Below are 25105 nucleotides of genomic sequence, written 5' to 3' on the forward strand. Positions count from 1 at the left end.
TAGGGAATAAATCTATCTGTTGGCTTTGAGAAAATTTCTCAGTAGCAACAAACCAACTGCTCAAATCAGAATCCCCCAAAATAAATAAATAAGGTACCTAAGAGGGAATGCATGTGTTGACCAAAAAACTAAAAAATTCTCCCATTTCTGTCTGACGTTGAAAAAAATCATAGGTATTTGGCATTTTAGCCTATGCTGTTGAATGTGGTAGCCACTAATTATATGTGGCTATTTAAATTTAAATAAGGTAAAATTAAATAAAATTTATTTTCTCAGTCCCATTAGCCCCATTTCAAGTCCTCAACAGCCATATGAGGCCACTGGCCACTGTACTGGTCAGCACATGTATCAGACATGTCCATTGTTGCAGGAATATCTGTTGGGAAAAAAATGAACTACTTATTTAGATAAAAGTAGTGATTTGTTAGACATGCCTAATAAAATTCAGTTTATTTTAAGATTATGTAATTAAATTCAGACTTACTTATAAGAGTCTGAATTTTCATTTTAATCGTTTGTATGTATTTCATTCCTCTTAGTATGAAGAGAGTCTATATCAAGAGACTCTCTATGGAGACAGGAGCCAGTTTGTATTAGGCCCCAGCTCTGTCTTGGGCTCTGTGCTAGGCATTTCATATCTGTTATGCTACTTAAGGCTCATGACTCCCTGTGAGATAGGCATGCTTATTCTCATTTTTCCCTAAATGGGGGGCTGTGACAAGGCTGAAGCAAAGAGAGGGCACAACATCTTTTCAGGGTTAACACTTGAGAAACATCTATTTCTTCTTAAGTAGCTCTACTGCTGCTTAGAGAAGTAGAGTATGTAGACAAGACAGTTAAATTTTCCACAGATGGGGTTTACTTAGAGGGAGATAAGATTTCTTTTGCACACAATTGTAGATTTTTTTTTAAATGGTCAAAATCCTCCTGTTCTAGCAGTAGCTAAGAAGTGACTCGGGGAAGCATTCAACAAGTAGGAAAGAAGTCTGCTCAGATGGAGGCCCTGAATCAGAGATGCCTGTCATCTGTTCCCAAAGGCTCCAAACTCCTGCCACAAATACACTGAGGGTTCCTCTCTCTATAACTTCTTCTCTTTATTTTCTCTGGAAGGAATGTACTTGATACTTATTTTTAATCTGAGTCTCCTTCCACAAAAAGTGTAGAGGATGTGCTACCCAGCCCCTAAAGTTTTGCCTCTTGGTATTCACACTTGTGAAGTCATTTTCCATGTGGAAGAGGGCTGACCTGTGTAAGCAATAAGATGCTGCAGAAATGTATGACTTCTGTGGCTAGGTTAGAAGAGCCATGAGTCCTTAAAGCTTTCCCCCTTTTCTCTCTCTTGAGTGGCTGTCTCTGGAGGAAGCCAGTCACCATTCTATGAAGTTACTCAAGCAGCCAGTGGAGAGGCCCACATGGGGAGGAACTGAGGCCTCCCACCAATACTCTCCATCAAGCTGCCAGGCATGTGGTACCTTAGAAGTGGATCTTACAGCCCCAGTCAAGCCTTCAGATGACTATAGAGCCAGAACCACTCTACTAAGCCTGTCCCAAATTCCTAACTCACCAAAATAACATGAGATAGTAAATGTTTACTGCAGTTTTAAGCAGTTGAGTTTTGGCATAATTTGTTATGCAGCAATAGGTACCTAACCCAGAGGGTTTTTCCAGCTTTGCCTATGGGCAAGTCTACAGATGAAACAAGCTGCTTTTCATATTTAGTGCTCTCTCTCACAATTATCAGGAGATATAATTATCTTACCATCCAGGCTGTGATTCTTGCACACAAGCACCAAGTCATCCATTATTGCAGTCTCCCTTCCCATGCTTGATGAATAACTGGGTTCCTGTGATTTTTCCTCTTTTCTTTCCCCATTGACTGTTGAAATTGTTTGCCTCAACTATTGAGTCCCTTCTCTTCAGTTTGCCTCCTTTTCTTTTCCTCCTACATGAGCAGAAGCCAGGAAATTGAATGTATTCGATCACAAAGTATGCATGACCCTCAGCAACATGAGCCTACAATAGTCTTTTTAATGACCAGAGGAAGGTTGTGAGGACTCTTAGTTAATTTGTTATGAACACCCACTCCCATAAGGAAGCTGCTATGTATTTGTGGAATAAATTAAATAAAATCAGCAAATTTGCTTATTATCTATTTCCTGCCCTTTGAACACAGGTTTACCCATAAACTACATTTGTTACACACTAACTGAATATGGAAAGCACTATGGGTAATGCAAAAAATATAGCTTGTCTGTTTTCAGTGTACTCATAAGCAAATATAGGAGACATCACAAAGATGCAAATATGTATTCATATTCACATACATGCTTAAGTAGACATTTACATATCAAAGACAGTGAAGGCTAAGGGCCAAATGAATGGTACACACAAGTGTTAACAGATCTTCAAAAGAAGATGTTATGGCTGTGAGCTGAATTGATCAGGGCAGCCTTTATGCAGGAACAAAGTCTTCAGAAGGTTTAACTATGGCAGATACTATTACAGATACTACTTGTTTCATCCAGTTCTCCTTTAGCCCCAAGCATAGAGACTCCTGCACATCTCAGCCTCTTATGAGTGGGCAGGATCATGTGACTAGCTCTACTTAGTGGGGCACGAGAAAAAGTAACATGTTTCATTTCTTAAGTCAAAGAAAAAACTATGTTTAATTCTCCAATCTTTCTCCCCCAAAAGTTCACATGCTCTGGGGTAACTAGAGGATGTTAGTGGCTCCCTCAGCCTGGGTCTATCTGAATGACTACAATAAGCAGAGCCCCCTGACAACTTTTTTTGGGCATGTACCATTAGCAAGAACTAAACCTTTCTTTGTGATAGGCCACTGTGATCTGGGGACTCATTTGTTACTGCAGCATAACTTAGTCTCTCCTAACTAAAACAGAGATTCCCAAAGATGGAGAAAAGCAGAGCACAGTAGAGGTAGCTTATAAGTCATGTCTTATATGACCTTTCTCAATGACAAACCTGTGTGCTCACCAAGACATAGCTTGTTATGACATATCTGAATAGAATTGAAGGTTTTTAAATAAAAACATAAGAAGGTTGGAAAGGCAGCAGAATGAGCTACTGCCTGTGGGTGATCTTTACACATCTCAGAATAACAGGATTATTGATGCCTTGGCCAGAAGCATTCCTTTCCCTCTGTTTTCTTTTTCTTTGAGATTGCAAGCCATATATTTCCATTTGGAAAACAGTATTTCATAACCTCTAAACCTAACATGAGTCCTGTGAAACCCTAGTCTACAGTTGAATGGCCAAAAATAAAGACTTGAAATTCCTTCAAAGCTATCCCATTTTACAAGGCAATGCTTTCTCTCTCTACCAAGAAAGTGTTCCTGCTTGATAGATTCCCCTCTCTTGCTGTATATTACACTTACTGCTCTCCTGTCACTCCCTATTCTCTTCCTAGTTGTTTGTGCCTTATTAAATTCCACATTTTGAAACAACCAATAAGAATCAGAAAGCCTGAAGAAGCCCTTTCTCATACAATCAGAGCTCCCTTTTTATCTAGGAATAAATTATATTTTCCAATCAATTCATGAGTGGGATTCATTGACAATATACTCTCTTTGTAACATATTTCTGAATGAGTAGTAAATGGTCTTCAATAAGGATATGGCGATACATTTTAGCTAAACTGTTTCATACCGACATTAACTCCCCTGTTAACTTACTTAGGAGTCTAAAGACACAATCAAATAGCTGTTTCTGACTATTATTCTCAAAGCGAAGCTCCAGGCCGTAATCTCAGGACATGCATGAAAATATCAAGTAACAACTCAAAGGCCCATTTCAGCTTCAAATACCTTTGAAAATTCGTGAGTTTGAGGAGCAGAGTGGGATAGCAGGCGAGTGGAAGAGGAGGCTTCTGAGAAACTTAATTATCTACATTTTAGAATGTTTCAGTCTTTGGCCTTTTAATACTGTAGTATAGCCTGGCTTCTGTCATTCTGAAGGGATTTCCCAGCTTAACAAAATCCCAAGGAACCAACCTCAGATTGGTCTCTTACCTAAGGAAAGATTCTGGCAACACAACAGGAAGGATTTGGAAAATTTAATGAAGATTTTGAAATACCCCTAACACACTTAAATTAAAGATAATACCTATTTCACCCAAATCTCCTAACCCCCTGTGGAAGATCAATTCTAATTTTTGAGGACAATTATTCATGTGTTATTGGCTTGAAGTACAGAATGTATTAGTAAGTCTCTTCAGTTCTAAGTAACAGAAACCAAATCAGGCTAGGTTAAAATTGAAGGGGCATCATTAGAAGGACCCAAGAGTGTCTCAAGGACTCAGAGGCAAAGATGCAGCCAGTTCCCCCCAGTGCCGGGAACCAGAAGGTGGGCAGGAACTCAGGGAATACAGCCCCCTTCTATCTCTGCTTCTCAATTCTCATAGGGAAATATGGTTGTCCACAGATCTCAGGTTTACCTGTCATAGTTCTAGCCACATGCAAGGAATGACTGCATATCTCTGAATTCCAAATTTCAGAAAGTGAGACCTTGGGGTGGGAGATGGGGCACGCTTGGATTCGGTGTCTAACTCTAATTCAAACAACTTTTGCCACGGAGCCATGTAGTAGCCAAATATGTTTCTAAGGCCCAAGGGACCACTCTTACAAAGATGGAAGATAGTTCACTAAAAAGAAGACATGCTTTCTAGACTCCACAGCCACCCCAGAAGTGCCAAGATAAATAATAGGGAGCCAGAGTTTAAGCAAGGGCCACCATCACTGCAAGTTGTCTCATCCAACTTCTCCCTTTATAGGAATTGACATGACTTCAAATATTCATGTCTGACACCAACGAAGAGGAATGTCTGTTCTTGAGCTCTTTTTCTCGGTTCCCAAGGGGCCCTCAGTACCCTGCTTTACCATTTAGTGTGGATTCTGACAAAAGAACAAATTAAGTACTTTGATTTGATTCTTAATTTTTCCTTATAAAGACTTGCAATAAATATTGTGGGTACCTAGAAATAATCCACCATAGTGCACAACACAATCTGTTGACTTACCTTAGCTTCCATTTTCCTTCTTGGTCTGACATATAAATTCACCTTGCTGCTCAATTCTGTCACCTACTATTTTCAGCATGTATGAGCAACAGTAAAGTGCATGCCCACAGAACTCAGAAATGAGAAAACTAATATTGCTCTGTTATATGCATAATGGATCAATACAGAGGTATTTAAACACACAAAGAAAAAAAAAAACAGGTCAGCAAGACTTGACTTTCAACTGATAGAGAATATTAACATGTTTATGGGTAGAAAAAGTGGTCAGTTGTAGAAAAATATACAAAGAAAAGCTACAAAGAGATGTTGGCAGTGGCCATTTAAGCTCTGTCTAGGGAAAGGAAGCCTTTAGTTAATGGCCTTCAAGTATTCTAATGTAGGGACACGGCACCCCTACTGTGGAAAGAGATGCAGGAGGTGGAAGGTAGCTAAGGCCTTGGAGTTTCAGTTCCACAGGCAAGGCTATCCTTATCATGAGAACTGAGCAGCATGAAGCTATCTGTAGTCTGACAGTCATATTGTATGTTGTGTCAAATGAAAACATAGCATCACTCAATTCCTTTTGTTCTCTTCTCTTGCTAAACACACAACTATCTGATGCTCTGGCTTCCCATGGACCTCAGGCCTGCTTAGAGGATGGAATGCAATAGTCCCACTAGTCTGTGCAGTGGGCCAACTGCTGGTTGTAAAATCACAAAGGGGCCTTCTAGGTTACCGCGTCTCACAAACTTGGGTAATGTAATTCCGTCTTGAAGAGAGAGTCCCCCATGGGTAAGACCATGGACCATGGTAAATGAGTGTACCCCAGGAGAACTGCTTGGGAAATAGTCACTTAGCCTATTCTCCTGGTGATGCCCCAGACATTGTCAACATGGACCCCTTGGAGCATTTCCTCGTTGATGTCTACATTTGTTACCTTACTCTTAATTAAATTTTCTAAAAAGATGGCACAATAGGAGCACTGAGAACATGATTTTTAGGAAGAAAAGGAATCCCATGTAAACCCGTTTCCATCTGTGGTTCTTGCCTTTCTGTCCTTATCCATAGGGCAGCTCATTCTTGCATATCTGCAGCTCTTGCATGCCTGCCATTTTGTATCTTCCTTTTTCTCGTTATATCAGAAGCATTATAATAAGTTACATTAGAACCCGTTTTGCATATTTTAACATTGCCTTCACAGTGAAACTATAGAGAGCTTTATGGTGGCACTCTAGTGAATATTCTGTTCTGCTTCTGTTACATGACTACCTTAGGAAAAGTCTCCGAGAACTCCTGTCTCCCATGATTATCTCTCCTAATCAGGCTTTCTACTATCAAACTACTCAGCAAAAGGAACTCACCAACCTATAGTGCTACCAGAAGTCTAATAACATAACACTGTCACCACAACTTTTTCAGCACTAAACATGATCATTTTTAAAAATAGTAAGTTTATTAGGTATATAATGATACTTTCCAAGTTCCAGCCTGTTTATAAAGGACTCTGTATAAATAAGGAAGGGGCCCAGGAATGGTGACATATTTAACGTGTAAGTCAGGATGCTAAATGTCTGACTGTATTTGTTTATTTTTTTCTGAAATGGAGTCTTGCTCTGTCACTTAAGCTAGAGTGCAATGGCACAATCATGGCTCAATGTAGCCTTGACCTCCCATGCTCAAGTGATCCTCCCACCTCAGCCTCCTGAGTAGCTAGAACTATAGGCACACACCACCATACCCAGATTTTTTATTTTTTGAATGTATTTATTTATTTATTTATTTATTTTTTGTAGAGACGAGGTCTTGCTTTGTTGCCCAGGTTGGTCTTGAACTTCTGGACTCAAATGATCCTCCTGCCTCAGTCTCCCAAAGGATTGAAATTACAAGTGTGAGCCACTGTGCCCAGCTCCTATTATATTTTTAAAAGGAATATACTGAGGAAAATACAAATGGAGTTCAACTGATAAAAAGAAACCTCTGTAATATGAGCAGGTGAATACAATTTACAAGATCATACTTCAGTATGAATTCAGTAGGAATTGCATGTTTTGCCTGCTGTGTGTCCCTAAGGGTGACACACTCCTGAATGGGACTTTAGTTTGCCATAAGCCTGCTTTGTTTTGTTTGTGGTAGAAATTCCATGCTATGAGGAAATGCTTTCATTTCTTTTGATATCTCATGAGCGCTTGTTGCAAAAAACATTTGTAGGCAAACAGCTTCACACATATTAAAAACTTGTAGCAGAAAGTTAATTCCCTAACATAAGTTGTCCAGCTCAGGGCTCTATAATCCTGTAATTCATTTTGGTTCCAATAAATACGTACTTTCTGTGAGACCCTTTGGGGAAAGGGTAATTAGATATTTCACATCAGTGGGATATCTTTCCTTCTTTTGCTCCCCCTCCTTCTTTCCTTCTCCTTTTCTTCTCTTTAATTCTTCTACCCAGAAAAATTCTCAAGGAGCAAAAATACATTACTCTCTGCATTTTTATAAGCTGGCCAGTTTTGCTTCCTGGCTTTTGAACAGAAAATTATGCCTCAAAAATAATCCCACATTATTCTCTAAATTCATTTTCCTCAGTCATTAGCCCATAACGGCAATTTTCCTTTTGAAAATAAAGAATAATGATCATTTATTGAGACAAATCCTCAATCAGAATGATTCAAAGAGAATACAAATTTAATGATCACCCTGAGAACCCAAGTAATACATCTCAGGAAATAATAATAAAATTTATGATGGCCTTAAAATTGCTTAACTCCTTTCAGGAAACCCTGAATTATAGGGTAGTAACATAACCAAGGACTGGCAACAACTCACAAAAGTCTAGAAGAGTTTTGCCTTTGAGTTCATAGACAAAGATGCTTAAATTGTTCCCCGTTCAAAAAATAAAGATTATTTATTATTTACTTTCCTGTGCACCGGACACTCCTGCAACATGACTATAACTCTTGCGTTCTTAGATTTGATCTTCAAGGTCTCTGAATGATGAAAAAACTTGTAGGGTAGCATGCCAACCAACTTGGGTTTTTTGTCTGTTTTTGTTTTTGGAGGAGGGGAACAAGGCAGGGAGAGAGGGAGAGGGAGAGAGAGAGAGAGAGAGAGAGTGAGAGATCACACTACCAGGAGCTTCATAAAGAAACCTGCAATGCAGAACCAAAGTGGATGAAAGCAAAAGGATACAACTTTTCCCTCCAGATGATTTTACTGGGAGGAAGAAAGATTTGAAACTATTGAGTGCTTTTTCTGATAACCACCTATGGCTCTCTCCAAAGACACACATGTAAAGTTGGGCAAGTTGTTTTCTGTCATGTCAGGAAAATATTTAGTAGCAGTCTTACAAAAGTAAGCACTCAGCGCCGTCCCAGGGAGCTGTGGATTTGCTGTGCAGCCTTGTTTCCTTCAACAGGTTCCTTTGTTGCTTTGTGTGTTCTCCCGACAAAGGGCCTGCCCTTCTTCTACAGATGGGTTTACCATTCTCTCTGAATGAAGACTATTCAGAAGTACACAAACCAACAAACCATCCAAGCTGCCTCTATCTGATGGTCCTGGTATATCCAGAGTACTAAATAGTGGCCTACAGGATGGGAAATTCACACTGACTGACTCCACAGGAGACTGAGAAAGCTTAACTGGCTGATAGCTGTAAAGTCCTTTGAAGGAACAAGCACTGTTTAAAATTCTAAGTAGTAATCTTATAATTTGCTAATGGAAAGAAATATAACCCAGCTAATGTGTGCCTCCCATTTCAGAGAGTATGTTTCAACAGCAAAGCCCTTTACAATATTTAGATAAACTTCGATGTATAGAAAGTGCAACAGCAAGGTAAACAGCAGGGCTTCCCGCTATGGCATTTTAAAATGTGGTGGGTGAAATTTGTCACTCCTAAGCAAGTGCCTATAGTAAAAATAAAATATCACTATTTATATGGTATGTGTTAAAAATTGTCCACTCTCCCCAACTACACCAGATCAAAACCTCTTGTTTTTTAAATTATGAAATTATTGAACTGTATTGAGCACACCCCTACTTATGAGTTGTGTAACCTGGGGCATGATATTGAACCCCTCTGAGTCATTTCCTCATCTATCTAGACAAGGCTAATGGTAATACCTACATTGTAGGGCTGTCGTTAGAATTTTAAAATAATTTAATAAAATAAAGGCTAGTATTTATTAAACTCTAAATACATGTTTGCTGCTATCAGCAGCAGCAGCATCGGTCGGCAATCACGCCAACACTCCTCAAAGAAAACAGTTCTGAAAAGGCTGTGTGCATCCTAGGTCTGAAGATTTTCTTGGTCTAAAGAGTCTCTTGGGCTAGTGACCAAATCCTTCATTAATTTCAAGAGCTCTGGGAACTCTCTGAAACTGAATGTGGAATGGTATAACTACTGGTCTGTGCACATTTTTCTAGAAAACCTCACATCTTTCATCACATTAAGAGGTTAAGAATCATTGCCATATGTAGTCATTAGCTTACCTTTATCTACTTTCTACTTCTAACGGAGAACTAGAGTCCTGTTTAGAACAAGTAACCAGGACAGGGACAGAAGAAGGAGACTATGCATCTGTCACTCTTGCTGATTAGTCTCCACCCTCTCCCAGCTTCTGCGGGCCTCCTCTCCCAAGAGTTGCGATCCTAGACCCACCTCCCATCTGCAGTCTCAACCTATCCTCTTCTAAGGACTAATCATGGCATATGGCAGGAGAGATTTAAGACTAGCTAGGTCAATGCTCTAAGCTCAACATCAAGTCACCTCTGAGGCAGGGTGTTGTCATGGAATGATCATGACCTCTGAAATAGGAAGGTCTGTGTTTGATTTGGCTTGACCACTTACTGGACGTGTGACCTTGGAAACGTTTACTTAATCATGTCTTTTGTCACCTATAAAATAAATACAATAAGATTTACATTGTGAGTCTATGAGAGAGAAATGAGATAATATAGAGAATATTTTTAAAATGGGAGCATATGTCAGGCAACAGTAGATGCTCAGCAATGTTCTTTTCTTACCTGGGCTTCAACCTGGCACCCTTGGTCACCTTCCCAGGACCCAAATCCCTCTAGGAATAAACTCTGGCCCTTGCTGGCTTCTTTATTCTTCCTCCCACCTACATACTTGAACCCATCCAAAGAAATAGGTCTGACTACCTTGGAAACCTTTTCTGATGCTTACTACTTGTCCAACATTCATTTTTCTGTACCATGTGTGTAGATACTGGATTCCCCATCCTAGAATTCTACCCACCTCTTGGGCTACCCTGTTACAATGTGTGACTGACTATCCTACTCCCACTTTCCAAGTTAACCACTTAATTGAATGGCTGCCCATCAACATACTCCTTAAATGCCAAGTTAGTTCTGTCAAACCCAATCCACAGACAAGCCTTATCCTCAAACCTTTTCTGCCCTCTGCCACAGTGCTAACTGGTTCATTGTGCTTGTTCAGCATGCAGGGACCTTTAATTTAATGGGCCTCTCCCATTTTTCACATATCATGAAAGTTATCAAATTTAGGTTAATTAAGTTTAAGACATCCATAGTTATTCGAGTGAAAACTTGAAGGCAGCATAATGGATAATAATGGTAAAATGATAATTTTTGAGCTCTTAGTAGATGCCAGGCATAGTCCTAAGCAGTTTAAATATATTTTTTTCATATGATTTTCATAACAATCCTACATAGTAGATTATGATCATTATCTCTACTTTATAGGTGAGGAAACTGAGACTTAGAGAAGTTAAGCAAATGGCCAAAAGTTATGCAGGTAGTAAGTAGCAGACATAGAATTGAGAAGACAGCCCCCATTCTAAATAAGTATGAAAAATTTCAGGGTGTCAATTTTTAGCTAAGGAAAACTTATTCATGTGTGTGTGTGTGTGTGTGTGTGTGTGTGTGTGTGTGTGTAAATGAATAGATATTCATTTACTTATATATCTATTTCCCAGGCCTCAATGCAATCAGAGATCTCTGAAGAAGTGACCATATTATGAACATAAATTTTTGACTTCATAACTTTACAGTGATAAATAACCTCAGGTTATCAGGATCCTAACCTTAAACCACCTGAGATTTTATCACTGTTCCTTTAGTAAGCAAGGGATTTTTCAACCCTGAGACAGATAAAAAATAGATTGTATGGTCAATGAAATCCATTATATTCATACTTTTTGGTTGAGTTTAGGTAATGGAACAATCTGAGAATTTTGTATCAAGTATTTGTGATGTTTAAGAGGATTTATCATATTTAAGAATCTGACAGATTGCCCCTGCAATTAGAAGTACAATTGATTACTGACTTCTAATTTTAGGTTAAAAAGTTTAACAGAATTTGATGTTTTTAAGTAGTACTGAGATGTTTAAATAACTGAATTTATTCTTTATGAGTCTAGTATATTTGATTCAAAACATGGCTTCAAAGCTTAGAAAGGTTTTGCTTGTTAAGGTTGTGAGCTTGTACTGCCAAGTATTCGAAGTGTTTACAAAGAAAGTAAAATTGTTAAATGTGTAAAGTTATTTTAAAATATTGATGAATACATTTAACAAGTAAATACAAAAGTGTATTTAAGTAGACATTATTCTTTTATGGCATTCATAAATTCATAAATTGCACAAGATAACCTGAGTTGCTCTAAATGCTTTTCAAACTTAAGTTTAGGGGAGCAACATCAGCAAGATGGCTCACTAGAAACTCCAGCACTCATCCCTTCCACAGTGACAGCCAAAACAATGAATAAACAACTACACTTTAATGTACATAACTGAAGGAGAGTGCTAGAATACATCAAAGGAGTAACAGAAACCCTGGTGAGCACAGAAACTCAGGACAGCCACAAAGAGAATGGAAGGAAACATCACAACTCCACCACCCTATCCCCAGCTGAGATGAGCCAGAAACCCAGAGGAAACTTTCCCTATAGGAAAAAGGCAAGCAAGAGGATTCCAGTAGCCTCCACCAACACCTTGGACACCCACAGTCCTCACTACTGGAGTCCTTGTAGTCTTCACTGGCACTAAGTCCAGCTGAGGGAGCTGCCTACAGGCCACACAGCCACACTCACCTCAGAGAAGGAACTAATACTGTGCTCTATTCCCTGTAGCCCACATGGCAACTGTGCTATATCATCTTAGAACTGGAACTACTGCTGAAGTGTGATTTTCTCTGAGGGTGAGCAGGCTTGACACCCCTGCCTCCATAAGGCTAAGCTGCCTCCAAACCACCCCAAACCAGTGGCCACAGCCAAGCTGCCAGCAGCTGTTAATGCCTTTCCCCATGGAGCCAAACAGTGAAAACTGCTCTACCTGCCCTCCCTCACCTTCACCTGCCCTCTCCCTTCACCTGCCCTCTTGTGCTAGAGATGAAGCAATACATTCCCTCCTGGGGAAACAGTGCTTTGGCAGAACAGCTCCATCTGCTTCTCTCCGCTGCAACTGTACACTGCTTCTAGGGGTCTGAGCCAAAATGGCACAGTATCTCCCAAGGAAATAGTGCTTTGGTAGGACCCTGTATCCCAGGTAAATGGTGCCTGGGCCACACAGAACAGTCATGCCTGAGTTAAAGTGTCACATTGCCCCTTGGGGAATCATTGCCTTGGTCAAGTTAAACAACTGTGCATCCCAGGGCTGAGCTGATGTAGTATCTTGTGTCCCAAGGAAACAGAGTAGAACATGACCTAAGACAGTCTACCCTACTGGACAATCTAGTACCCTGCTTTCCTGAAGCTGGACTAGCCCACTAGAGTCTGAACTGCTAAGACCTGCTGTTTCCTGGGGAGTGGACTCATCACTGTGCTACTCCCTGCCCTCCAGGACCCAAACAATACCCATGCTCAGTCATTCTAGGGTACTTGCTGCCACTGCGCCTGGCCACATGGAGTCTGGGATACAGATATGCCCCACCATTCCAAGGTCTAAATTTACCACTACATAGTTCTTCATTCTCAGGGACCTAAGCTGCCACTGAACCCTATTGGCTTAGGCTCCTAAATTATAGCTGTACCATGCATGCTGTGCTCAAACCCCTAAAACTCTGCTTCTTTCCCAGAGCTGAGCCAGGGCTGTATCCTATTCCCCAGGGGTAGAATCACAGCTACAACCTGACCCACTGAATCAAAGCTGGTAGGGGCTGCCTAACAGTCATAGATTCTGGCTCTGTGGGAAACCTATATTTGACCCAGCTACAGAGAGTGAACCTGTACCCCAGGACCCAAGAGCCACAATAGGCTTGTGAAACTCTGATATTAGCACCCTGACTCCATAGCCACTTCAAGTACCAATCCCTGGAACTCAAAGCAATGGAACTGCTTGTAGGCCATGTAAGAGGGATCCTCTTGTTTAATTATCCCCATTGTGAGGAAAATCAGAATAGGAGGACCCCAAAAGCCCTGCCACTGAGGACATTAACAACCTATGTTGTCACTGCCACTACCATACCCCTTTTTTTTTAATTATACTTTAAGTTTTAGGGTACATGTGCACAATGTGCAGGTTTATTACATATGTATACATGTGCCATGTTACTGTGCGGCACCCATTAACTCGTCATTTACATTAGGTATATCTCCTAATGCTATCCCTCCCCCTGCCCCCACCCCACAACAGGCCCCGGTGTGTGATGTTCCCCTTCCTGTGTCCATGTGTTCTCATTGTTCAATTCCCACCTATGAGTGAGAACACGCGGTGTTTGGTTTTTTGTCCTTGCAATAATTTGCTGAGAATGATGGTTTCCAGCTTCATCCATGCCCCTACAAAGGACATGAACTCATCCTTTTTTATGGCTGCATAGTATTCCATGGTGTATATGTGTCACATTTTCTTAATCCAGTCTATCATTGTTGGATATATGGGTTGGTTCCAAGTCTTTGATATTGTGAATAGTGCCGCAATAAACATACATGTGCATGTGTCTTTATAGCAGCATGATTTATAATCCTTTGAGTATATACCCAGTAATGGGATGGCTGGGTCAAATGGTATTTCTAACTCTAGATCCCTGAGGAATTGCCACACTGACTTCCACAATGGTTGAACTAGTTTACATTCCCACCAACAGTGTAAAAGTGTTCCTATTTCTCCACATCCTCTCCAGCACCTGTTGTTTCCTGACTTTTTAATGATCGCCATTCTAACTGGTGTAAGATGGTATCTCATTGTGGTTTTGATTTGCATTTCTCTGATGGCCAGTGATGATGAGCACCACCATACACTTTTACAGCCTAAGTCATTCAGGCATCCACAGTTACTGTTGACACTGAATGCAGCTGAAGAAACTGCATAGATACTATACCACTGAACCTACCTGGAAACAAAGTCACCACACTTTTCCTAATTAGCACACTAAGATCCAACTACAGGTGAAAGTCTTTCTCTGCAAAAGCCACTCTAGAAAGTCTGGAAGAGGCAATTTTTCCACCAAATGCATAGACATTGATGTAGAAACACAAGAAATATGAAAAAGCAAAGAAATATGTCAATGCCAAAGGAACAAAATAACTCCCTAGTAACAAACCCTAATGACAAGAAAATCAATGAATTGCCAGAAAAGGAATACAAACTAGTACTCTTAAGAAACTCAACAAGATACAAGAAAATACAGATAGACAATTCAACAAAATCAGAAAAAGAATTTATTATATAAATTAGAAATTCAACAGAGATAGATATTATAAAAAATAATTCAATTAATAAAATAAAAAATACAATAGGCAGCTTCAAGAACAGACTTAAGTATAGAAAACAATCTCTGAACCTAAAAATAGGTTATTTAAAATTACTTAGCTAGAGAGAAAAAAAAATAAGAAAGAAAAAGAGTTTTTAAAAAAGACTACAAGACTTATAGGACACCATTAAGTGAACAAATTTTCATATTATGGCAGTTCCAGAAGGAAAAGATGTATTAAAAAAAAAACCTAATTTAATTATCTAATAGCTGAAAATTTCACAAGTCTGGATAGAGATGTGTATATACAGATCCAGGAAACTCAAAGGTTCCCGAATAGATTCAAGCCCTGATGCACATTATAGTTCAATTGTCAAAGTCAAAGACAAAGCAAGAATTCTAAAAACAACAAGAGAAATGTGTCACAGTACATTTAAGGGAATCCCCATTAGACTAACAGAAGACTTTCAGCAGAACCTTATAGACCAGGAAAGAACAGAAAGCTACATTCAAAGTACTGAAGGAAAAAAACTGTCAGTCAAGGATACTATATCCAGCAAATATATCCTTTAGAAATGAGGAAGAAATAAAACGTTTCTCAGAGAAGTAAAAACAGGGAATTCATCACCACTAGAACAGTTTTACAAGAAATTCTAAAGGGACTCCTGCATCTGGAAGCAAAAAATGATTATCACTACTAAGAAAACACACAAAAGTATAAAACTCACTGGTAGAGGCTGAGCATGGTGGCTTACGCCTATAATCCCAGAATTTTGGGAGTCCAAGGTGGGCAGATCACCTGAGGTTGGGAGTTCAAGACCAGCCTGACTAACATGGAGAAATCCTGTCTCTACTCAACACACAAAATTAGCTGGGTGTGGTGGCACATGCCTGTAATCCCAGCTACTTGGGAGGCTGAGGCAGGAGAATCACTTGTACCCAGGAGGTGGAGGTTGCAGTGAGCTGAGATCGTGCCATTGCATTCCAGCCTGGGCAACAAGAGTGAAACTCATCTCAAAAACAAACAACAACAACAACAACAACAACAAACTCACTAGTAGAGCAGATACACAGAAAAAAAGAGAAAAGAAGCAAAACTTATCACTACAGAAAATCACTAAACCACAATGATAAATAATAAGAGAAGAAAGAACAAAGGATATGCAAAATAACCAGAAAATAGTTAACAAAACGACAGAAGCAAGTCATGACTTATCAATAATAACCTTGAATGTTAACAGAATAAATTCCCCACTTAAAGACATAGACTGACTTAATTGATTTAAAACAAAAGAAAACAAAAACATGATCCAACTATATGCTTTCTATAAGAAATTCACTTCACTACTAAGGATACATACAGATTAAGAGCAAAGGAATAGAAAAAGATACTCCATGCAAATAAAAATAAAAAGCGAGCAGGAGTAGCTTTACTTGTATCAGATAAAACAGACTTTAAGTGAAAAAACTGTAAAAAGAGACAAAGAGGATCATCATATAATGATAAAGGAATCAATTCAGCAAGAAGCTACAACAGTTATATATGCATCCAACACTGGAACACATTGATATATAAATTAAATAGTATTCAATCCAAAGGGAGAGATAGACCCCAATGCCATAATAGTTGGGGACCCCACTCTCATCACTGGATAGGCCATCTAGAAAGAAAATCAACAACGAAACATTGAGTTTATACTGCATTTTAGCTCAAATGGACCTAGCAGACATTTACAGAACATTTCAACTGACAGTGGCAGAATACATATTATTTTCATCAGCACATGGAACATCCTCAAGGACAGATCACAAAGGCCACAAAATAAGTCTCGACAAATTTAAAAGAAGTGAAATCATATCAAGTATCTTTTCTGAACACAATGGAATAAAACTAGAAATCAATAACAAGAGGGACTTTTGGAAGCTCTATGAATACAACATGCTCCTGTATAACCAAAGACTCAATACAGAAATTAAGAAGAAAATTTAAAAATTTATGAAAATGGAAGCACAACATATCAAAACTTATGAGATACAGCAAAAACAGTGCTAAGAGAAAAGTTTATAACAATAAACACATCAAAAGAGTAGAAAGACTTTAAATAAATAATCTAACAGTGCAAGAACAAAAATGAAAACAAGAACAAACCAAACCCAAAATTAGTACAAGGAAAGAAATAACAAAGATCAGAGGAGAAATAAATGAAATTGAGACTAAAACTTACAAAAGATCAATTTTTAAAACTTTTTTTGAAAAGATAACAAAATTAACAAACCACGAGCTAAACTAACCAAGAAAAATGTCCCAAATAAATAAAATTAGAAACAAAAAGAGAGACCTTACAACTGATAACCCACATATACAAAAGATCATTAGAGACTAGTACAAACAACTGTACACCCACAAATTGGAAAACCAAACAGAAACAAATTCCTAGACAACCTAACAAGATTGAACCTAGAAGAAATAGAAAACCTAAACACACCAATTACAAGCAACAAGTTGAATCAATAATTTTAAAAATGTTCTATCAAAGAAAAGCCCAGGACCTGATAGCTTCACTACTGAATTCTACCAAACATTTAAAGAAGAACTAATGCCCATCCTTCTCAAACTCTTCTAGAAAATAAAAGAGAAGGGAATTCTTTCAAGCTGATTCTACAAGACCATTATTACCCTGATACCAAGCCAGATAAGGACACAACAAAAAAAGGCCAAAATCCCTGATGAACATCGATGCAAACATCCTCAACAAAATACTAGCAAGTTGAATCCAGCATCACATTAAAAAGAACATTCACCATGATCAAGTGGGATTTATCCCAGCGATGCAAGGACGGTTCAACATATGCTAATCAATAAATGTGATACTTCACATTAACAAAATGAAAGACAAACACCATATGATCATCTCAATAGATGCAGAAAAAGAAAAGAAAATTCAACATCCCTTCCTGATAAAAACCCTGAACAAACTAAGTATAGAATAAGTGCACCTCAACATAGTGAAGGCCATATATGACAAATCCATACCTAACATTATACTGAACAGGGAATAGCTAAAAGCTTTTCTTCTAAGAACTAGAACAAGACCATGATGCCCACTCCCACCACTGTTATTCAACATAACATTGGAAGTCCTAGCCAGAGCAATTAGGCAAGAGAAAGAAATAAAGGGCATTCAAAATGGAAAGGAAGAAGTCAAATTGTCCCTGTTTACAGATGACATAATCTTAAATACAGAAACCCATATAAGCTGTACCAAAACATTCTTAGAATGAGACAACAAAATCAGTAAAGTTGCAGGATACAAATTAACATACAAAAATCAGTACCATTTCTATACACCAACAATGAACTAGTGAAAAAATAAAGCAAGAAAGCAACCTTACTTACAATAGCTACAGAAAGAAAATATAAAATACCTAGGAATAAATCTAACCAAGGAAGCAAAAGATCTCTACAATTAAATGACAGGACACTGATAAAAGAAATTGAAGATCTGGTTACAAAAAAAGGAAAATATCCCATATTCATGAATTGGAAGAACTTATATTGTTAAAATGACAATGCTACCAAAAACAATTTACAGATTTGATGTAAACCTTTTCAAAATACCAATATCATTCTTCACAGGATTAGAAAAAATCCTAAAATTTATGTGGAACCACTGAAGACCCCAAATAGCCAAAGCAATCCCCAGCAAAAAGAACAAAGCTGGAGGTAGCACATTATCTGACTTTAAAATATACAAGAAAGTGATAATAACTAAATCATCATGTTACTGGAGTAAAAACAAACACATAGACCAGTGGAACAGAACAGATAAATCAGAAGTAAATCCTTTAATTATAGCAAACTGATTTTTGACAAAATGCCAAAAACATTGAGTGTGCAAAGGACAGTCTATTCATAAATGATGCTGGGAAAACTGGATATCCATATGCAGAAAAAATGAAACTAGACCTCTGTCTCTCACATATACAAGAATCAAATCAAAATGGACTAAATAATTAAATGTAAGGCCTCGAACTATAAAACTAAGAGGAAAACATTGGGGAAAATGCTTCTGGGCATTGGTCTGGGCAAAGATTTTTTGGATAAGACCTCAAATATAAAGGCAACAAAGGTTAAAATAGACAAATGGGATTATATCAAGCTAAAAAGCATCTGTACAGCAAAGGAGACAATCAACAGAATGAAGAGACAGCCCACAGAATGGGAGAAAATATTTGCAAACTATCCATTTGACAAGGGATTAATAACCAAAATATATAAGGAACTCAAACAACTCAATAGCAGAAATGCTAATAATTCAGTTTTAAACTGGGCAAAAGACCTGAATAGACATTTCTTAAAAGGAGACATACAAATGGACAAGAGGCATATGAAAAAATGCTCAGCATCCGTAATCCTCAGGGAAATGCAAATCACAACCACAGTGAGATACCATCTCACCACAGTTATAATGGCTACTATGAAAAAGACAAACAATAACAGATGCTGGAGAGGATACAGTAAAAGAGGAATGCTAGTGTACTGATAGTGGGAATATAAATTAGTACAGCCATTATGGAAAACGGTATGGAGGTTCTTCAAAAAAACTAAAAATATCTACAATGTGACCCAGCAATCCTGCTGCTGGGTATATATCTGAAAGAAAGGAAATCAGGATATTGAAGAGATATCTGCATACCCATGTTTACTGCAGCACTATTCATAATAGCCAAGATATGGAATCAACCTAAGTGTCCATCAGCTATGGATGAAAAGATAAAGAAAATGTGGTATATACACACAATGAAATACTATTCCGCTTATTTTATACAATTAAGCCTAAAATATATTTTAAAAAATAATAAAATCCTATTTGCAGCAACATGGAACTGGAGGTCATTATTTTTATGTGAAATAAGCCCAACACAGACAAATATTGGCTGGGCTAAGTGGCTCATATCTGGAATCCCAGCAATTTGGGAGGCTGAGGGAGGATTATTTGAGCCCAGGAGTTTGAGACCAGCCTGGGTAATATGGCAAGATTCTATCTCTATAAAAAAATTAACTGGCTGTCCTAGCTACTTGGAAGACCAAAGTGGGAAGATCGCTTGAGCCCAGAAAATTGAGGCTGCAGAGGGCCGTGTCTGTGCCATTTTAACTTTACTCCAGCCTAGGTGACAGACTGAGACCCTTTCTCAAAAAAAAAAAAAAGAAGAAGAAGAAAAATAATAAGAATGACAGACAAATATTACATTCTCTCACTCCTATGTGGAAGCTTAAAAGTGTGGATCTCATGGAGGTAGAAAGTTGATGGGTGCTACTAGAGCCTGGAAAGGGTGGCAAGAGGGGTGAAGAGAGGTTGGTTAATAGATATAAAAAGACAGCTAGATAGAAGGAATAAGTTCTAGTGTTTGATAGCACAGCAGGGTGATTATAGTTAACAATAATTTGTTACATATTTCAAAATAGCTGCAAGAGAGAATTTGAAATGTTCCTAACACAAAGAAATGATAAATGTTCAAGGTGCTGGATATCCTAATTACCTTGATTTGATCATTGCACGTTGTATGCATGTACTAAAGTATCACATGAGCCTATAAATATGTATAATTATTATGTATCAATAATAAAAAACATTAAGTTTAAAATATATCTTTAATAAATTAAACTTTTGTTAAAAGCCCAAATTATAGTAAATAAACCCTTCTGCATACAAAAAGTGATCTATTAGCCACTGAAAATCTTATAAGAGAGTTTTTATGACAGACTTATGAGCAATAATAAGTATTTTAAAATATAAATCAGATCATGTCATGCCTTGGCCTAAAACTCTTCATTGTTTAACAGTTACTCTTATGAGAAATTCCAGTCTCCCAGCCAAGGTCTATGAAACTCTTCAAAATTGACTCTTGTCCACTTCTACCTCCTCACCAATTATCAACCTCACTACCCCAGTCACTTTGGCCTTTTTTCCTCTTTCTGATACATCATGAGCTTATTATGGCAACAAGTCTTTTATATTTGTTAACTTCTCTACCTGGAGTACTTTTCCCAAAATATTTTGCAAGGTGGGCTCTTGCTTGACATTTAACTCTCAGCTCAAATATCACCTCCTCCAGATGCCTCCTCTAATTGTCCTTTACACCAATAACCTCTGACACATTCATATGTTTTACAGTCTTAGGAATATCCTCAATGCCTGACTTACCATATTCATTTATTGGCTCCCATATTTATTTCCCCCTCTCCCAAATAAAATAAAAGCTCAATGAGAGCAATATCTTGTCTTTCCTAAACCATTGCTTGGCACATATTAAATGCTCAATAAATATCTGTTGCACAAATGAATAAACTTAAATAAATAAAACACATCTTTGCCTTAATACCAAGTTATTTTTAAATCATATCCTTATGTAATATCGAATCCATAAGACTCAATTATCTGGGGTTTATTTGACAAATTTGATTATCTTATTTGGGGGTTAATACCATGAATGGCTAAAAATAGGCCAATTGCCAAGCAGAGCACACAAGCAAATATGATCCCTCCCCAGGATGCTTGCCATCCAAATTACAAGCATTGAAAAATCTTGGCAAGGCGCCTATGCTAATAAGAAAGTGATCCAATATTCATGAGAAGAACTTGAAAAACTATTATTTTTGCCTGCAATCTTCTTGGCTTTTCCATAATTAATATGTCATTATCATCAGAAGGCTAAGAGATCAAGAGTGGTAAAAGCAACCTTTCATGTAATACTCATAGGGACAATGGTATTTAGCAAATATCACATTGACTTCTGGTAAGAGAAATAATCCAGAATCTGTGGTTGCTAGAAACCTAGTATATGGAAAAAATAGAGGGGCAGTTGGCATCAAGACAGAAAGGTAGGGTTTTAAAGCTGATCTAGAGGTAGAAAAAAACACATTCTAGAGATTCCTGAAGAAACAAATTCCAAGTACTCATTGTCATGAAAAACGGTATGATGGAGTCCTACCCTCTGTCTGTATTGTTCTTTTTTAAATAGATCTTCCTGGTTAGGTCAGGAAGAAGCTATTCTTGAATGCCAGTTAATACATTCCTCCATTTACTCAACATTCTATCCCTACACCAAATTAGCTCAGTAGAAAGGCTATCTAGACTATCTACTACCTAGGTCATAATACATTAGCAACCTGTACAAATGTCTTTTCAGAGTTTCAGTTTATAGCATGCCGTGGTTTGTTATCCAGGGTGAATCTAGGAAACAATTAGATCTATAATCTCACAGCAAACTTCATTTGACTATATTTGCAAATGTTATCAACTATGTTATTTTTTTACCATCATATATATAACGATTGATATAAAAAGTTTTTCTTACAGTTAGGAAAAATTTGTCTCTCCTGACAAAGTGGTATTCTTCCTTTTGCAACTAATGGCAGTTATGTAACTTGCTTCTCTTAGATGGCCTTGGCCATCTAAGAAGCTCAGAGCAGAACTAACTTGTTTAGGTCGTCTAGAATGACTTCTTCCGATCCCTATTTTTCTCTGCTTAAACTTGTTGTTCAGTTCTGTTAGGACTTTTGTTTTGTTTTGTTTTTTACATATATGCCTTTTCTCATTAGTTGGTTAAAATACGCTTTTAAAGTGTATAAGATAAAAATAGTAGAGCCAGACACGGTGCCTTACGCCTGTAATCCCAGCACTTTGGGAGGCCAAGGTGGGCAGATCATCTGAGGTCAGGAGTTCGAGACCAGCCTGGCCAAGATGGTGAAACCCCATCTCTACTAAAAAATACAAAAATTAGCCAGGCGTGGTGGCACACGCCTGTAATCCCGGCTACTCAAGAGGCTGAGGCAGGAGAGTCGCTTGAACCCAGGAGGCAGAGGTTGCAGTGAGCCGAGACTGTGCCACTGCACTCCAGCCTGGGCAACAAGAGTGAAACTCCGTCCCAAAACAAAAAACAAAAAAAAAGAGTAAATAATTTTGAAATTTTAAGCTCCCTTTTACCAAAAAAGGGTTCTGACTTCTGGCCAGAATGTAGTAAATGTCAAGAAATCAGTCACAGCTGAGGTAGTGCCAGGAATTTGGTGTGGGGGACAGGAGGAGACAAGCAAAGACTATTTAAAAACAATGAATTTTAGCCTGTCTATAAGTACTCTTTTCTATGAAAACATAAAAGGAAATTTCCCTTACAAATGTTGATTGATAAACATGAACGTCTATATGGAAAATAATGCGATATCTGAGCTAAAAGGACTCTTAGTGAACTCTGATCCAATCTCCTTGATTTGAGGATAGGGAAAAGTGTAATCCCTAAAAGATTAAATGATATTTCCAAAGAAACAACAAGTTGGTAATTAAGTCCGGCCTGAAATCTGGGGCTTCTGCTTCCCAGGTTATGAGCTTTCTAACACTCCAAGAACTGTGAACCCTGGAGGGAAGGTTGTAATCTGACTTTAACTCCTGAGGACATGTGGATATGCCCTTCAGGGTCCAGGGACATTTGGGTTGCACATTAACAGTTAAAATATGCTAAAGCACCGCATTTTCTCCAACTCCATTCAATGCCTAAGGTTTATTGTTTGTTCAGTTTTAGCCAACTATATTTCCTGAGTGTTTCAAAAGGCAGCAAGGTGGCGAGGATACAAGGGAAAGCCGCTACACATTCAACATAGGAATACAAAGATTATAGTAGAATTCTACGCATCAAATTCCAATTCAAATTTCTTCTGGGGTCAGTGTCAGTATCTCCCACTTCCTCCTGACACATCCTGAGCTGAAGATCCCTTTTAAATTTTCTTTCTAAGAAAAAAAAAAATATAGGTTTATTGATCTCCTTTAAATGATAGCTTTAGAATAACATGTCAAATTATTTCTGTTTCTTGACTTATTCTAGGAAAAAAGACAAAGAAATAAGATATTCATATAAATGAAAAGTTTCACAGCCGGCAACCAACTAATTGGTATATATTTAAACACATTTAAGATATTACTTGATTACATTCAATAGGCATAATGTCCATATAAGAACAATGGTTTTGTTTGGAACATATAAAAGTGATAGTTCTGTAACATGTATTTATTTAACTTTTTATTTTGAGATAATTATAGATTCACTTGCAGTGGTAAGAAATAATATAGACAGATCTTTTGTATCCATCACCCAGTTTCTCCCAATGGTAAATCAAGATATTGACATTGATACAATCCACCTCAGATTTCACCATGTTAGATATAAGTTCTAAATTTCTCATCAAAGAATAAATATGCCAGTATGTTCAATTCTTTGCCTTCTACTTTTAAACTTAACTTCCTCGTAAAGTAACCTTTTTCGATTACCTACTCCACCCCGACTCATTCCAATTCCTACTCCACCCCAACTCATTCCGATCACCTACTCCACCCTGACTCATTCTGATTACCTGCTACCTGCTCTGCCCTGACTCATTCTCCACGCTGCATAACCATTTTTTTTCCCTCCAAAGCACTCACCCCCTCACTCTCTTTAAATTAGCCAATTGGAATTAGTTTCGCCTGCGTGGTCTAATCCTAGCCAACAGGGGAACGACACGGCAGCAGGGGCCATGTGCCTCAGGGATAAGAACACCTTCCCCTCCCTTGTCCAAGTGTGCGCTCACCATTGTTCCATCTGTAAGGGCGTACCCTTCTGTAGAAGTAACTTGCCTTGCTGAGAATTAAAAGAAAATTTTATATTCGATGCCGTTTCTTTTGCGGCACCGAAACTTTATATATAACAACCACTTTGACATTCATTTATATAAAGATCAATTTTTAATAGCTACAATCTATAGAGCACTTCTATATGCCAGACCAACTGCTCACTGATGAACAAACATTCTTCTAGTTCATTCCTACAAAAAACAATTTACCAGTGGAGGCAATAGTGAGGACTGTAGCTTAGAAGCTTTCATGCTACAATGTAGTATATGCTACAGTGTAGTACCCTATAGCTGTATGGGTGGTTCATTTTAAAAATTGTATATGCAGCCATTCCTCAATAGGCTCAAAATAAATATTGACAGAAATAGGTAAGTAAATCAAAAGAGAAAATCAAAGCCAGGAATCAAAAGAAGAGGCAAATTGGGTTAATATGATTCAATTTACGTCTGGGCTTCTTGGTAGACAGGACAAAAAGGTAAACAGAATGAGATATGCAATCCTTTTTGTCAAAAGGGGAAACTCATATTGATCCTTTAAGATATAGATGTTTAAAAATATGTCTATGTCTGTGCACATACCCTTATGCTAGCTCCAGCTCAGTTTTTTAAAATAATCTTTTCAGTCAGAGTTTATGAACATCCAAATAAAACTGTGTCAACACATGCTTAATACATCAGTAAAACTATTTTTAATAATGTACTCTCCTATTGAATATGGGTTGGTTTTCTGACTTGCTATGGCCCATTGAGTGCACAGATGTCACAGTGT

General features: G+C 38.0%; 1 protein-coding gene across 8 annotated transcripts in view; it reads right to left on the reverse strand.

Moving 5' to 3' along the window:
• The window catches only part of FHIT (fragile histidine triad diadenosine triphosphatase), a 1504176-nt gene that overhangs the window by 1117764 nt on the left and 361307 nt on the right, over positions 1-25105 (reverse strand). The window contains exon 4 of one of the 8 annotated variants that reach the window (NR_148922.2): positions 23213-23458. The exons of the other annotated variants lie outside the window; for them this stretch is intronic. The gene's annotated coding sequence lies outside the window, so the exon portion shown is untranslated. Of the gene's footprint in view, positions 1-23212; positions 23459-25105 lie in introns of those variants that run through there. 8 annotated transcript variants of the gene reach the window in all.

This window comes from Homo sapiens, chromosome 3 (assembly GCF_000001405.40).
Source record: "Homo sapiens chromosome 3, GRCh38.p14 Primary Assembly".
Lineage (NCBI taxonomy): Eukaryota > Metazoa > Chordata > Mammalia > Primates > Hominidae > Homo > Homo sapiens.